The sequence below is a fragment of the Homo sapiens genome, chromosome 2, assembly GCF_000001405.40.
Source record: "Homo sapiens chromosome 2, GRCh38.p14 Primary Assembly".
Lineage (NCBI taxonomy): Eukaryota > Metazoa > Chordata > Mammalia > Primates > Hominidae > Homo > Homo sapiens.
In genome coordinates, this window is record NC_000002.12 from 168,096,911 (window position 1) to 168,111,619 (window position 14,709).

General features: G+C 38.9%; 1 protein-coding gene across 8 annotated transcripts in view; it reads right to left on the reverse strand.

The window, feature by feature from the left end:
* STK39 (serine/threonine kinase 39) overlaps nt 1–14,709 on the reverse strand; it is a 293,574-nt gene that overhangs the window by 142,889 nt on the left and 135,976 nt on the right. The window contains exon 11 of one of the 8 annotated variants that reach the window (XM_017003816.3): nt 1,943–14,686. The exons of the other annotated variants lie outside the window; for them this stretch is intronic. Coding sequence (XP_016859305.1) covers nt 14,594–14,686 — 93 coding nt within the window. The 3' untranslated portion in view covers nt 1,943–14,593. Of the gene's footprint in view, nt 1–1,942; nt 14,687–14,709 lie in introns of those variants that run through there. 8 annotated transcript variants of the gene reach the window in all.

Sequence of the window (14,709 nt, forward strand, 5' to 3'; positions counted from 1 at the left end):
AAAAACCTGCCTTTCAATGGGTATAAACGTGCCCAAAATACTATAGGGGAGAGAAGAAAACGCTATTAATTTACTGTTCTATGGCCCTTTCTTAACACATACTACTATGGGTCCTTGTCCTACTAAACTTCATTTCCTAGCACAACCCAGGGTTAAAGTTGGCAAGTACCACCAAGTATATCACTTTTACCAACACTCTGAAACAATTCAGGCAATACACCACACTTGGAGATGACTGCTTTGAAAATGCCAGAGTTCTACTACATCATGGCTGTTTTTTAGTCACTCAAATCCTTTAATATTTCAGACAGATGTGGTATGTAAAGTGCCCCTTGTGCAAATGCACAGTTGACTGTATTTGTTCATGTATCCATTTTACCAAGTCTTAGGCATTGCCACACCTTTTCATGGAGGAGCCCACCTCATTTAGGTTCTACAGGGGAGGACTTTATCTGACTTGCTCATCCCTGAATCCCCAGCACCTGGCTCACTAACTGGCCCATTCCAGGTGTTCAACTGAGACTAGTAGAATGGCTGGGCATGGTGGTTCACACCTGTAATCCCAGTACTTTGGGAGGATGAGGCAGGAGAATGGCTTGAGGCAAGGAGATTGAGACACACCTGAGCAACACAGCCAGACCTCATCTCCCCCCACACCCCATCCCACACACATAATTAGCCGTGCATGATGGTGCATGCCTGTAGTCCCAGTTACTCAGAAGGCTCAGGTGGGAGGATCCCTTGAGGCCAGGAGTGCACGCTTCAGTGAGCTATGATCATGCCACTGCATTCCAGCCTGCGTGACAGAGCAAAATCCTGTCTCAAAAACAAAAAAAAAAAAAAGAAGACGAAGAAGACTAGTGGAATAAACGGAATCAACTATTACATGCTTGAATTTATCCAAGTATATCATGTGATTGTTATAGAACATTTGACTGAATCACAGCCTTTAAAGGAACTAAAAGGTAAAAATATTTAGCAGTTATTAAATACTTCCTGTGTGCTTTTAATTTTACAAGAGCCACACAAATTGGTATTACAGATAGAGTCTGTAAAACAGAGTCTAATAGAAGCTAAATGATTTTCTAGAAGCCTCATAGCAAACGAACACTAACCCTTTCTTAGAAATCATATGGGGTAAGTGAAACAACTGTGTAAAACAATACTAAGTAATCACTAGATTTACTCTTCTTTATCATTCTTCTTTAGTCAAATATGCAATCTGGAATAGCGCCTAGCTAGTGCCTAGCATATTTTCGGCACCCAAGAAATATTTGAGGATTTTTAAAATCAAGTGCACATGTACTTTTAATAATCAAATATCTGTTGCATGGGAAGGGGGTGAGAGAAGACAACTGCAAGTGCCCATATTCTCCTTCAAGGTCAGCACAATCATTTTATACTAGCGTCCTTTACTTCCCTCTAAAGGAAGATGAGAAATCCGTATCACAAGGTGGTTTTATACCTATTGCACTTTACCATATGCTACCCTGGCCAGCTTCTTACAGCAACAAAAGAGCGGCCCCACTGCCTCCCAGATGCTGAACGTGATCAGTTATTGCACCACGTATGCCTGACTGGGATACGGTCAAAGCCACAATGTCAAGTGCAGCCCAATAAGCATCCGTGACACCCTATTGACAGGGGCTGCTTGTCCTGCCTCTCCCACACCTCCATCTGAACTGTGCTATCCCCTGCTTTTATTTTCTGCTCCCATTTTTGCCATCTGCAGCTGACTGTTGTCACTCTGCTACCAAACTCTGGGGCTCCTTTCCTCCTTTCTTTTCTTGTCTCCTCTTCCTAACATTGCCTTTAAGTCAAAAAGTGACGGCATAAGATTGTGTTTTTCAAAATAATAAAAAAAAAATCCCATCTCACACACTCTTCCAACAATGTATTAATATCATTGACACTCTACTACTGATGGGTAGAACCTATTGTTCCCTCCCCGCCAATCTGGCGAAGCCTGTAACAACACCAGAAGTGGAGCTACGTGGCTTCCAAGGCTCCGTCATACCAGGCCATAGAGCATTGCCTGGTCTCCTTAGGAAGCTCACTCTTGGAATCCAGTGACTACACTGTAAGGAGGAGAGATCATGTGGAGAGGTCAGGTGTAGGTGTCCAGCTGACATCTCAGTTGAGGTCCCAGCAAATGGCTATCTACAATTGCCTCCAGCCATGTGAGTGGCAAGCCTTGAGAAGCCACCAGTCACTCACAGGTACAACGCCATGAGAGAGCCCATGCAAAGGCTGCCCAGCTCAGCCCAGCCAAGCCCCAGAACCAAGAGAGACAATAATAAAATGGCTGTTGCTGAGCTAAGCCAATAAGTGATGGGGTGATTCATTATGCAGCAATAGATAATGATCATCAATAGTGAACTAATACATCAGAGTGTTTCTTAACATCTAGAGAGCGAAATCACCAATCCAAACACAAAAGGGGTTGTTAGGTTGAAGAGTTAACTTCTTTGTTAGCTTTTTATTAATGTTTATTACCAAGTGGCTACTTTTATGGTCCCAAGAAGAGTCCTATGGCTTCATTCCCTAACTACTTCTAAGAAAAGAAAGCTATTCTGGAAACCTGGGTATTCCTGACATCTAATTATCAGAAAGCTTAAATTTTACCATAGTATTTGTCAATAACCTCAGCTGTACCTATAGGGGACCAAACTTTTGACAATGTAAGTTAAACATACATGTTTTTCAGGTTGTGACAATTCATACACTTCTTAACACCAGTTTAGAGAAAATTAATATAATTCAAGTTATACAAAATCTTGTCAGTTTCACTGAATTGAGAATACCAGGTTGATACTGACCTTCAGAATTTCTTCATGTCACAATAATTTGGCAATGCCCATGTGCAGTGAACAAAAAAGCATGTTTTTAGCAGCATAACAAAAACATACCAGAAAAAAACCATAATAGGAGACCCAAATTTCACTTCATAGCAACAATGCAATTTCAAAAAGTTATGCCAGGCTTGCTACTGAGAAAACTCAAGAGACAAGAGTCTCCATTGCTTTTGAAATGGAGACCCATCTGTCCAGCCTATTTCAAGTGGAACAATTTGAAAGTCAAAGGGCCAAAGACAGGCCACATGGGGAAAAAAAGGAAAAAAGCAAAATGCCTGGGTAATTCTTAGCTGGGCTAATAAGTATCTCAAAAGTCAATAGCAGGCAGGGCCACGAATCAATTTTTCATACAGTTTATCATGGCTAATTACAAGTTTTGCAGACTATTTCAAGGTTTATATTGCACTCACAATTGGGAAACTTGAAAATCATTACAGCAGAAAGGCTCAAGACCAAAGGAAGGCCAATCAAAGTCAAAACGATGGAGGGTCACATTCGAAAAAAAAGTAGATGCCTTGCCAGCCTTTGTAACTGTGCTGCTGGGGGAGAGCGTGCAGATTTAGACTGCAGGGGATCTGGGTTCTAGTTTAGCCAAAGGTAACCACATGATCAGGATACGTCATTTTACCTCTCTGAGCCTCAGTGTCTTCATTTATTTATTTATTTAGTTAGTTAGTTTTAAAGATGAGGCCTGGGCTATGTTACCCAGGCTGGTCTCGAACTCCTGGGCTCAAGCGATCCTCCTGCCACGGCCTCCCAAAGTGTAGGGATTACAGGTGTGAGTCACCTCACTCAGCCTTTTCATTTGTCTAATTAAACTAAAGAGCTTCTGCATGGGAAAAGAAACTAGCATCAGAGTGAATAGGCAACCTACAGAATGGGAGAAAATTTTTGCAATCTATCCATCTGACAAAGGGCTAATATCCAGAATCTACAAAAAACTTAATGCTGGAGAGGATGTGGAGAAGTAGGAACTCTTTTACACTGTTGGTGGGAGTGTAAATTAGTTCAAGCATTGTGGAAGACAGTGTGGTGATTCCTCAAGGATCTAGAACCAGAAACACAATTTGACCCAGCAATCCCATTACTGGGTATATACCCAAAGGATTATAAATCATACTACTATAAAGACACATGCACATGTATGTTTATTGTGGCACTATTCACAATAGCAAAGACTTGGAACCAACCCAAATGCCCATCAATGACAGACTGGTTAAAGAAAATGTGGCACATATACACCATGGAATACTATGCAGCCATAAAAAGGAATGAGTTCATGTCCTTTGCAGCGACACAGATGAAGCTGGAAACCATCATTCTCAGCAAACTAACACAGGAACAGAAAACCAAACACTGCAGGTTCTCACTCATAAGTGGGAGTTGAACAATGAGAACACTTGGACACAGGGAGGGGAACATCACACACCAGGGCTTGTCGGGGGTTAGGGGCAAGGGGAGGGATAGCATTAGGAGAAATACCTAATGTAGATGATGGGTTGATGGGTGCAGCAAACCACCATGGCACATGTATACCTATGTAACAAATCTGCACGTTCTGTACATGTATCCCAGAACTTAAAGTATAATAAAAAGAAAAAGAAAAAGCCTACATTTGAGAGCTTACTTGGTATACTACTTACTGCACTACACTAAGAACTGTGCTATGTTTTTAAAAAATATATACATTGGCCAGGCGCTGTGGCTCACACCTGTAATCCCAGCACTTTGGGAGGATGAGGCAGGTGGATCACTTGAGGCCAAGAGTTCAAGACCAGACTGGCCAACATGGTGAAACCCCATCTCTACTAAACATACAAAAATTAGCCAGGCATGGTGGCGTGCACCTATAGTCCCAGCTACTCTGGAGGCTGGGACACATTAATTGCTTGAACCTGGGAGGCAGAGGCTGCAGGGGGCCGAGATCATGCCACTGCACTCCAGCCTGGGCAACCGAGCAAGACTCTGTCTCAAAAAAAATAAAAACAAAAAAATTAAAATAAAATATATACATTTTTATTGAGAGATAATCCACCGTAAAACTCAACTATGTAAAATGGGAATGTCAATTGTTAGTATATTCACAGAATTGTGCAACCATCACCACAATCAATTTTAGAACATTGCTGTCACCCCAAAAAGAAACTCCTATCCCCATTAGCAGTTATGCCCCAATTTCCCCCTACCCACCAGCCCTAGGCAACCATTAATCTACTTCTATCTCTATGGATTTGCCTGTTTTGGGTATTTCACATAAACGGAATCATCCAATATGGGTCTTTCTTTCCATTCATTAGTTGATGACAGTTGGGTTGTGTCCACTTTGGGCTACTATGGATAATACTGCCTTGAACATTCATGTACACTTTTTTTTTTTTAATGGACATAACCTTCTCATTTCTCTTCCATTTGTACCTAGAAGTAGAATTTCTGGGCCATATGCTAACCTTCTGAGGAAATGCCAGACTGTCTTCCAAAGTGGCTGCACCATTTTATACTCCCACCAGCATGGGAGGGTTCCAGTTCTTCCACATCCTCAGCAACACTTGCTTTTGTCCATCTTTTTTATTAGTGCCATCCTAGCGGGTATGAGGTAGTATCCTGTTGTGATTTTCATTTGCATTTCCCTCCCTTGCATGATCTTATGAGGTAAAAACCAATCCGTATTCCTGTTGGGTATACAAGGAAACTGGATTGGAAAGGTTCAGTGACTGATTAAAGATAAAAGTCATATGCAGATTCTGCACTCTCCAGAGCCCATTTCAATGCACAACTACAAGGTCTCACAAATTCTGAGAAGGCTGTACAAGCCAGCCCTTCAAGATTCTTCCAGCTATGACATTCTGGGACCATGAATTTATACTGTTTAAAAATCTCTTCTCAGCCAGGTGCGGTGGCTCACGCCTGTAATCCCAGCACTTTGGGAGGCCAAGGCGGGCAGATTATGAGGTAAGGAGATTGAGACCTTCCTGGCTAACACGGTGAAACCCCGTCTCTACTAAAAATACAAAAAAAATTAGTCTGTGTGGTGGTGGGCACCTGTAGTCCCAGCTACTCGGGAGGCTGAGGCAGGAGAATGGCATGAACCTGGGAGGCGGAGCTTGTAGTGAGCCGAGATTGCACCACTGCACTCCAGCCTGGGCGACAGAGCGAGAATCCGTCTCAAAAAAAAAAAAAAAAAAAAAAAAAAATCTCTTCTCTGGGTGAATTTTCTCTTTGGATTCAATATGAGGACTATTTGGACTCCTTCTGTGTAGGTTTGTGTTCCAATCACAGGGATGATGAGGCTACATCCCTGTCACACTGGCTCAGGGTCACATCTGAGGTCTACCTTGAGCAAGTATACTGAACTTAATATTTTGGCTGCACCAGAAAAAATCACCCATATTCAAGCATTCTGGACTGCTGATGATGACAATTTCATGTTTCATGTGTATTTCGTAAACTAATCTCACTCCTGGCTTTCTATTTACTTTCTTATCCTTATGTTCCTTTACCTTCCTTTTTGCATTTATCAAATAAATTTTACCCAGCTACACTGTTTGCATCTTTGTAAGCCATCTCGAATCTTTTCTGAAATAGAGTAGTAAAGAAATAAACACATCAAAATGTTTTCAAGTAGGCTTCAAAATAGCCCACAGCTGCGGACCCTTTCATTAGACTGTGTATTTTCCTAAGCAAACTATTCTCCAAGAAACAGAAAACATTGCCCTTCTTTGTACCTTAGTAGGAGGGAAAATGCTTTTATATTCTAAATTACACAAGCGTTCCAAAATAATTTGGGGAAAGAGAAAGATAGTTAGGGCCCAGCAGGATAAAGGAAGAAAGCAATGATTCTTTGCACATTCATGAATACATGGAAAGGTTATTTCTCTTAGACTATCTCTTTAACATTTTTTTTCTTTTATATATGTGTAAGATTTCTCAACACTTTTTGATGGCTGAGTGGTTGGTACCGGAGGCTATGAATACCAATTTGAATTTGACAGCTTCCTAAGAAAAAGGCTCAACATTTCTGTAAACTTTCTTCTCTTTCATAATTACTTATTTAGATCTCACAATCTGTGTATCCACACTTTAAAACAGTTCTTTCATTTCTAAGACTTTAACTTATCTAAAGAGTTAGGCACTAATGCCAAAAGTTGTATTCACTCAGACAAAAAACTATAAACCACAAATGTCAATCAGTTCAGCACTGGTTGAACTATGGTATGTGCATAGAAACAGCTACCATATAGCCATTAAGAATTATATAAAACCACACCAGCCGACATGGGGAAAGGTCTAAGAAAAGCAAGGTACCCAATAGTCAGAATAGTATAAGGTCACGTGTAAAACTGTGCACACCTATCTGGGGATATATATGTACATACATTCATAAAGAGATGGCTGAAAGGATGTGTAATGAAACACTAAGAGTAATTATTCCTGGATGGCAGTATTTGAGGGAAGGTTTACATATCTGAGCACTTTTATTTACCAGTTGATTTTTTCTCATAATAAGTATTATTTTTACCAGAAGAATAAATCTATTTTCCTCTAATCATTAGGAAAAAAAATCCCACAACATGCAAAACACTGGCCTAGTCATCAAGCAGGAACTCACAACGAGAAAAAGACATTGCCAAAGAAATCATTATTGCAAGTAGTATAAGATTGTCAAAGTGAGTACAGTGTGAATACACCACAAAAATTCAGAAAAGAAAAGCAACAGGAACTGTGAAGGTGTGAGCCCATAGGGGGAGTTACATGTGTGTATGTATGTGTGTTCACCTGCACATGCTTAGGGGTGGGTAGGATAGAAGGTATAGAATGGAATGGAACGAAAGAATATTTTCAGAAAATGAGTGTAGGGGTAAAAATCTACATCATGTTTTCCAGGGCCACTAATTAGGGCTTCATTGTAGCTGAAGCTTACCATTCTGATTGGTGAGTAGTAAGAGATGAGGGTTTTAAAAACCATGACATTCTGGAAGACAATTTGCCAGTATCTACCCAAATTACAAATGTATATACCCTTTGACCTTGCATTTCCAGTTTGAAAAAGCTAAACACATGCAAAATGACACATACACAAGAATAATTAATGAAGCAATTGTTTGTAATTGCAAACATTTGGAAACACCTAGATGTCCAACAAGGGACAGGTTAAATAAATTATAGTATATCCTACCCAGTAGTACATTAGGTAGTAACAAAAAGGAATGAGGAAATCATGTACAGATGTGGAAATATAATCAGTGGAAAAAAAGCAAGACAAAGAACTGCACAGTACATTACCTTTTGGAGTTAAAATGAATAAATACTAAGACTGTGTGTTCATATTTGAGCAGATAAACAACATGTGAAGAACAATTTCAAAAAGGTGATCCTGACAGTGGTTAGGCAGGTTGAATTTTCAAAGCACTTCTTTTTTTATAACCTCTAGCTTTTGCCTGAAAGTTTGTTAGTATGAGAATGAAAGAGAACTCAGTCCACCATACTCAGTCTGATGAACTTCACAGCTTCTCCACACTCTCCTCCAACCTAATCTTCACTGGGAACAAAAGGCCTGCGCTCTCTTAGGGACAAAATAACTCAATGATCAACAAACTCAGAACAAGCTCCAGACCATGCAGGTAACTGGAAGTCATTTGATAAAATAACAAAGTCTGTAGATCAGACACAATCTGAAAGGCAGGCTCCCTTGTTTCAGGGGGCCCACTTCAGAAAATTCCCACAGTGTGATGTTATCTAATTGGCATAGGAAGAAAGGGCCTTGTGAAAGGGAGCCTGGGCTCGAAAGTCAATTTCAAATGCAAGCTCAGGCGGACAAGGTGCAGCTGTACACCCTGGAAAATTAAAGGGAAAATGTTAAATAAGCAAACACCATTTCTTAAAGAAGCTTATATCCATAGGAAATACCAATTGTGTATTTTAGAAGGATTGCATGCACATTTAATTGAGATTTTTAAAGCCAGAGTTTCAGGATTAATAACCAAAAGGGCAAGACCTTGTGTGAAAAATGACTCCAATTCTGGGAGAAATGAAATTGGCTGTGCCCTACTGAAGGGCTATATTTATTCCAGAACTTCACTTTAGCACTGAAATTCAAGATAAGAACTCTTGTGTTCCTTAAAGAACAATGAGGGTTTCATTTAAGGCAGGGTTACCTTGCAGTCCTAGTGTACAAACCCTGAAAACAGGAATACATCATGACTCCTACATATACATTTTGAAACGAAGCCTTGCTCTGTCGCCAGACTGGAGTGCAGTGGCGCAATCTCAGCTCACTGCAAACTCCGCCTCCCAGATGCAAATGATTCTCCTGCCTCAGCCTCCTGAGTAGCTGGGACTACAGATGCGCACCACCATGCGCAGCTAATTGACTCCAGTATGTTTTTAAAGTAATGATACTCAGTCAGGAGGCAAGATTGCAACAACTGCTTCTGTACAAATCCCTGCTCTAACACTTACCAGATGTGAGCCTCTGGATAAATTACTTACATTTTATGCACCTCAGTTTTCTCATCTGCAATTCTGAGATATAACAGTATCTACCTTATAGGGATTCTGTGATGATTCAATGAAAAGATATTGATCAAGCACTTGGCGCAATCTTTGACTTAGTTTAAACTTAATAATTATTGTTATTACTTGTGTTACTGTTATAGCTATTATTCATACCTCTTCTCCTATTGGCTATATATACATATATTAAAACTAAAATTTAAAAGAACAGATTATGTACTATATTAGTTACATGTGGGGTACAGCTTCAAATATAATCCAGGCTGGGCACAGTGGCTCATTACCTATAATCCCAGCACTTTGGGAGGCCAAGGCAGGAGGATCGCTTGAGCTCAGTAGTTGGAGAACAGCCTGGGCAACATAGAGAAACCCCATCTCTACAAAATGTACCAAAAAATTAGCTGGGCGTGGTGGTGCGCATCTGTAGTCTCAGCTACTCTGGAGACTGAGGTGGAAGGGTGGTTTGAGCCCAGGAAGTCAAGGCTGCAGTGAGCCATGTTCACACCACTGCACTCCAGCCTGGGTTACAAAGTGAGAACCTGTCTCAAAGAAAAAACATTTATGTAGGCATACATATATGTCTACATAAATACGTATGTATGTATTATGTGTATATATAGTATGTGGATATAATCTAGAACTACAGGGAATACATAATATAAAACTCATTCAAGCAAAACTTGTTAATCAAAAAATGTTTTGAAGATTGCTATTTTTATAACAGACTAGTCTCCTGGAGAAGGGTGGTTGCTTCATGTCACGTAATTTTAAATTTAAAAAATCATCTCGGTTATTTTACAACAAACATCTACTTAGCATTAATGGCACTGCTTACAAAATACTTCCTGCTTTTAAAGTAATCATTGGTTAACTTCATAGCTATTAAATCGAAAGTCAGAAGGTGACTGCGATTTTATCCTCAGGTGTTATTCTCAAATATTCTCAACTTTGCTTTCTTCTGGTCCTAATTCCCATACGAATAACTTCACAACATGATGAATGGGTCTTATAAAAACCTTTAGTCTTGAATTAGAGGACTTTTCTGTAACACACCTTGATGCAGGGAAATACTTTGAAAGGTTTGGGAATTTGGAGTTTCCCAGAAGGATGTCTAACCTCACTTGTCACGTGCCTTCTTGAAAGAAGAAAATACCTCTCCTAAAAGATGTTAGGATAATTATATTTAGTGCATGACAAGCACCATTTCTGTTTGCCATCCTCTGTAAAGCACTTAAATATGGAATTAGCTCAAATATCTCTTATCAGGGAATTGCCATCACATAAAGGAAGTCTGGACTGACTCATTATTTGACGTTAAAAATATCATTTCACATCTATTTAACTTTGTAAGACACAGACCACCCCATAAATAGCCAGCCTTTTCTCTGCTTCACAGGTACACTGAAGAGTAAAATGAAAATGCATGGGAATATGACCCAAACTCTGGGACATTATGGGAAAATTTACTCATTTTCACATTCCCTATTAATTCACCAAGTGGTAATAGCTACTGTAACACTGTTCATAGTGACTGTGTCCTCTGACAACACATGTGAAAAATGTTTATAGTGTCCTAAACTTTGGGTAAAGAGCTCAAGAATCACTCACTTTATACGGACACCTGCTTTCGCATCACTAATGGCATTTACCGAGGAATCCAGTTAGTGATTCTCAACGTGTATGGTCAAATCATTTCCAAGCCAACCAAATTTTAAATGTTCTCATCCTAATTCCAAAACAACTGTTTCAAAAACCCTGGCAAAATTCTACTTACTACAGAATATGTATGACATTCTAAATTGTATACTGGAACAACAAGCTTTCTAAAATGTTTTCTGGGGTTATTAAGCCTAAAGCATAACTGCTGTAATTGTGATTACCTCTATGTCAAGAGCACAGTTTGGGAGATGTCTTGACTCGACGGTATACCAACTTGTGACAAACTTTTGAAAAACTGCCTTTCTCCAGTGTTCTCTCACTGCAGGCAAGAAACAACATAGGCTGGGTACAGTGAATGATGCCTGTAATCCCAGCACTTGGAATGGGAAGATCGCTTGAGCCCGGGAGTTCAAGATCAGCCTGGGCAACATGGCGAAACCCTGTTTCTACAAAAAATACAAAAATTAGCCGGGCGTAGTGGCATGCACCTGTAGTCCTAGCTACCTGGGAGGCTGAGGTGGCAGGATCACTTGAGACTGGGAGGTCAAGAGTGCAGTGAGCCATGACTGCACCACTGCACTCCAACCTGGGTGACGGAGCGAGACCCTGTCTCAAAATTTAAAAAAGAAAAGAAAATAAAAAAAAAAAGAAACGATGGGGTACTTTTGCTAATGTTCCAGAATTTCACAGACATGGAGTCCATAAAGGTCATTCCCCCCTTCAGCAGGCCTCTTGTTTGGTCTGTCATAGGTAAGAAATCTGTACTAAACTCACTAACCCTTCTCAATGAATCGATAAGCAATATTCACGCATATTTCAATTCATCTTGCCAACACCTCATTTCTAACATATCATCAGTTTAGAAGTGCATTTTGCATAGGAACACTATCTACTTTAATTCCAAGGGAAGTACAAACCATCACACTTCATGCTTTAAGAAAAAGACAACAAAAGCTAAATTTGCTGCACTGTAAATTTAGTGTACTAGGCACTAACTTAATCCTTGTGGAGTGTCCCATTTAATAGTCGTAACAACTCAATGTGTAGGTACTGTTACCACCCTACTTTTCAGTTGAGGAAACTGAGCTTTGAAGAGGTTAGGTACCTTGCCCTTTGTTGAACCTCTACTGAACAGAGTGTCATGACTGGAACCTTGGAAGTCTGACTCTTCATGTTGTTGCGATGTAATATTCAACATATACAAACAACATATATTTATATATGTAAGTAATGAACTGGAACAATAACACCCAACTTAAAATATTGCTACATGGCACATACCCTAGCCTCAGTCACTACCATGAATTTTGTGTTTATCATTTACCTGCTTTTAAAAAATATCATCTCAAATGTATATCCTAAAATAGGACATCACTTAGTGTTATTTTTTAGCTTTACAAAAATAGTATCACTCTGACTACAGTCTTCTATAGTTTGCTCTTTTTCACTCAGTATTACATTTCTGAAAGTCATCTATGCTGTTCATTTTCGCTGCTGTATGATACTCTAATGTGTGGATAGACAGCATTTACTCATTCTCCTCTGGGCTATTTTCTTGAGTTTATACATTGTTGTTTTGAAAATTATTGCAAACATCTGCTGGCATGGTGTGCAAAAGTTTCTCTGGATATGGATTCTCGAAGCGTAAAATTGTGGGGCTACAGGATACAGAAATAACTTTTACAGGAAGGTGCCACATTCTTGTCCAAATTGGTTGTGCCAGTTTTGCCAGTTTTCACTACTACCAGCTGTTATAAGAGATGTGACAAGTCTACATCCTGACCAAAATATGGTATTACCAGGCCTCTTAATTTTTGCTGATCAATTAGGGGTAAAATGGAACATGTTTTCTGATATACATTTTCTTAAATACTAATGATGCTGCACATCCTTTGATATAATCCTGAGCCATTCATATTTCTTCCTCAGGGAAGTACCTGTTTTTTGTGTGTTTATGTTCATTTTTCTACTGATTTGAAGAAGTTCTTTATTTCAGATGCCAATCATTTGTTGGCTGTATGCCTTAAAAATGTCTTTTCCCAGTTTGAGGTTTGTCTTTCTATTACATTAACGGTATCCTCTGATAAACAGTTGTCCTTAATTTCAATGCGTGTCACTTTAACAGTCTTTTCTTTTATAGATAGACCCTTTGACTCTTATTTAAAAATATCTGAGCTCCAAAGCAATAGGTTTTCTTTATCTAAACGATTTAAAGTTTTGCCTGTTACATTAAGTGTCTAATCTGTTAGGAATGAAGTTATATGTATGTATGCTGTGAGATTAAAATATTTATTTATTTTTGTTTATTTATTTTTGAAGACAAGGTCTTGCTCTGTCACCCAGGCTGCAGTGTAGTGGTACAATCAGATCTTACTGTAACCTAAAACTCCTGGACTCAAGCAATCCTCCTTCCTCAGCCTTCCCAGTAGCTAGGACCATAAGGATATGCCACCATGCCTGGCTAATTTTTTATTTTTATTTTTTGTAGAGATGCGGTCTCGCTATGTTGCCCAGGGTAGTTTCAAACTCCTGGCCTCAAGAGATCCTCCTGCCTTAGCCTCCCAAAGTGCTAGGACTAAAGGCATGAGTCACTGTGCCTTGCCAATAATTATTTTTCATATAGATTGTATATCTCATCTCGGAACTATTACTTAACAGAATAGTTCCTTCTTTTTTCCACACAGATCTATAATACATCCCTGTCATACATCAAGTTTTCCTTATACCTGAGGGTCTACTTCTGGGTTCTTTATTTGATTCCCTTTATCATTTGTCTATCCCTAATGTCACAATGTTTTATTGAGTTACACTGTATATTCTTGAGCCTAAAATCTTCAAATAAATTTTAGAATCAGCTTGTTGAGTTTCTCAAAAACCTTTGTGGAAAGTCTAATTTGGAACAGCATTGACTCTATCAATCAATTTGGGGATAAATGGTGTCCTTCCTATATTGAGTCTTCTTATCCATGAGCAAAGTTTTTCTGTTATTTATTAGGTTTTCTTCAATGTCTTCCAATAAATTTTATACTTTTTCTGCCTAAAATTCTTATATACCTTTTGTTAGATTTATTTAATAAAAACTACAAATAATAAAAACCTGGTCTTATAGGACTACTCATCTTTCTATTTTTTCACTTGTCTCAGTTTTGGTAAGTTATATTTTTCTTAAAATTTATCCATCTTGTCTAGACATTTGGCATACAGTAATTCATAGTTCATTATAGGGTTCTAAAAATCTCTGTTGAAGCTATAATTTATTTGCAATATCCTTTTGGTTGTTGTTTGAAATTTCACTAATTTTTGTTATTCATACCTTTATCAACTTCCTTCCACTTTCTTCAGATTAAGATTGTTCTTTTCTAATTCAAGTTAGATGTTTAGCTTGTTAATTTTCATTTTCCATCTTCCTGAAAGTTATTTTAATACAGGCCCATTAAATATAAATTTTCTCAGTTTTGTTAATCTGAAAATGTCTTTTCACTATCCTCAATCTTGAAAATTTTAACTTTTTCCCAATACTTTGAGGATATCAAGTTATTCCTCTGTTTTCAGCCACTGGTTGTTGCTACTCAGATACCTGCTGTCAGTCTAGTTATTATTACCTGATAGGTGATCTGTTTTACTTCTCTAGCTGATTTTAGGATCTTCTCTTTATTTCTGTGCTGTTGATAAAATGACCCAACTT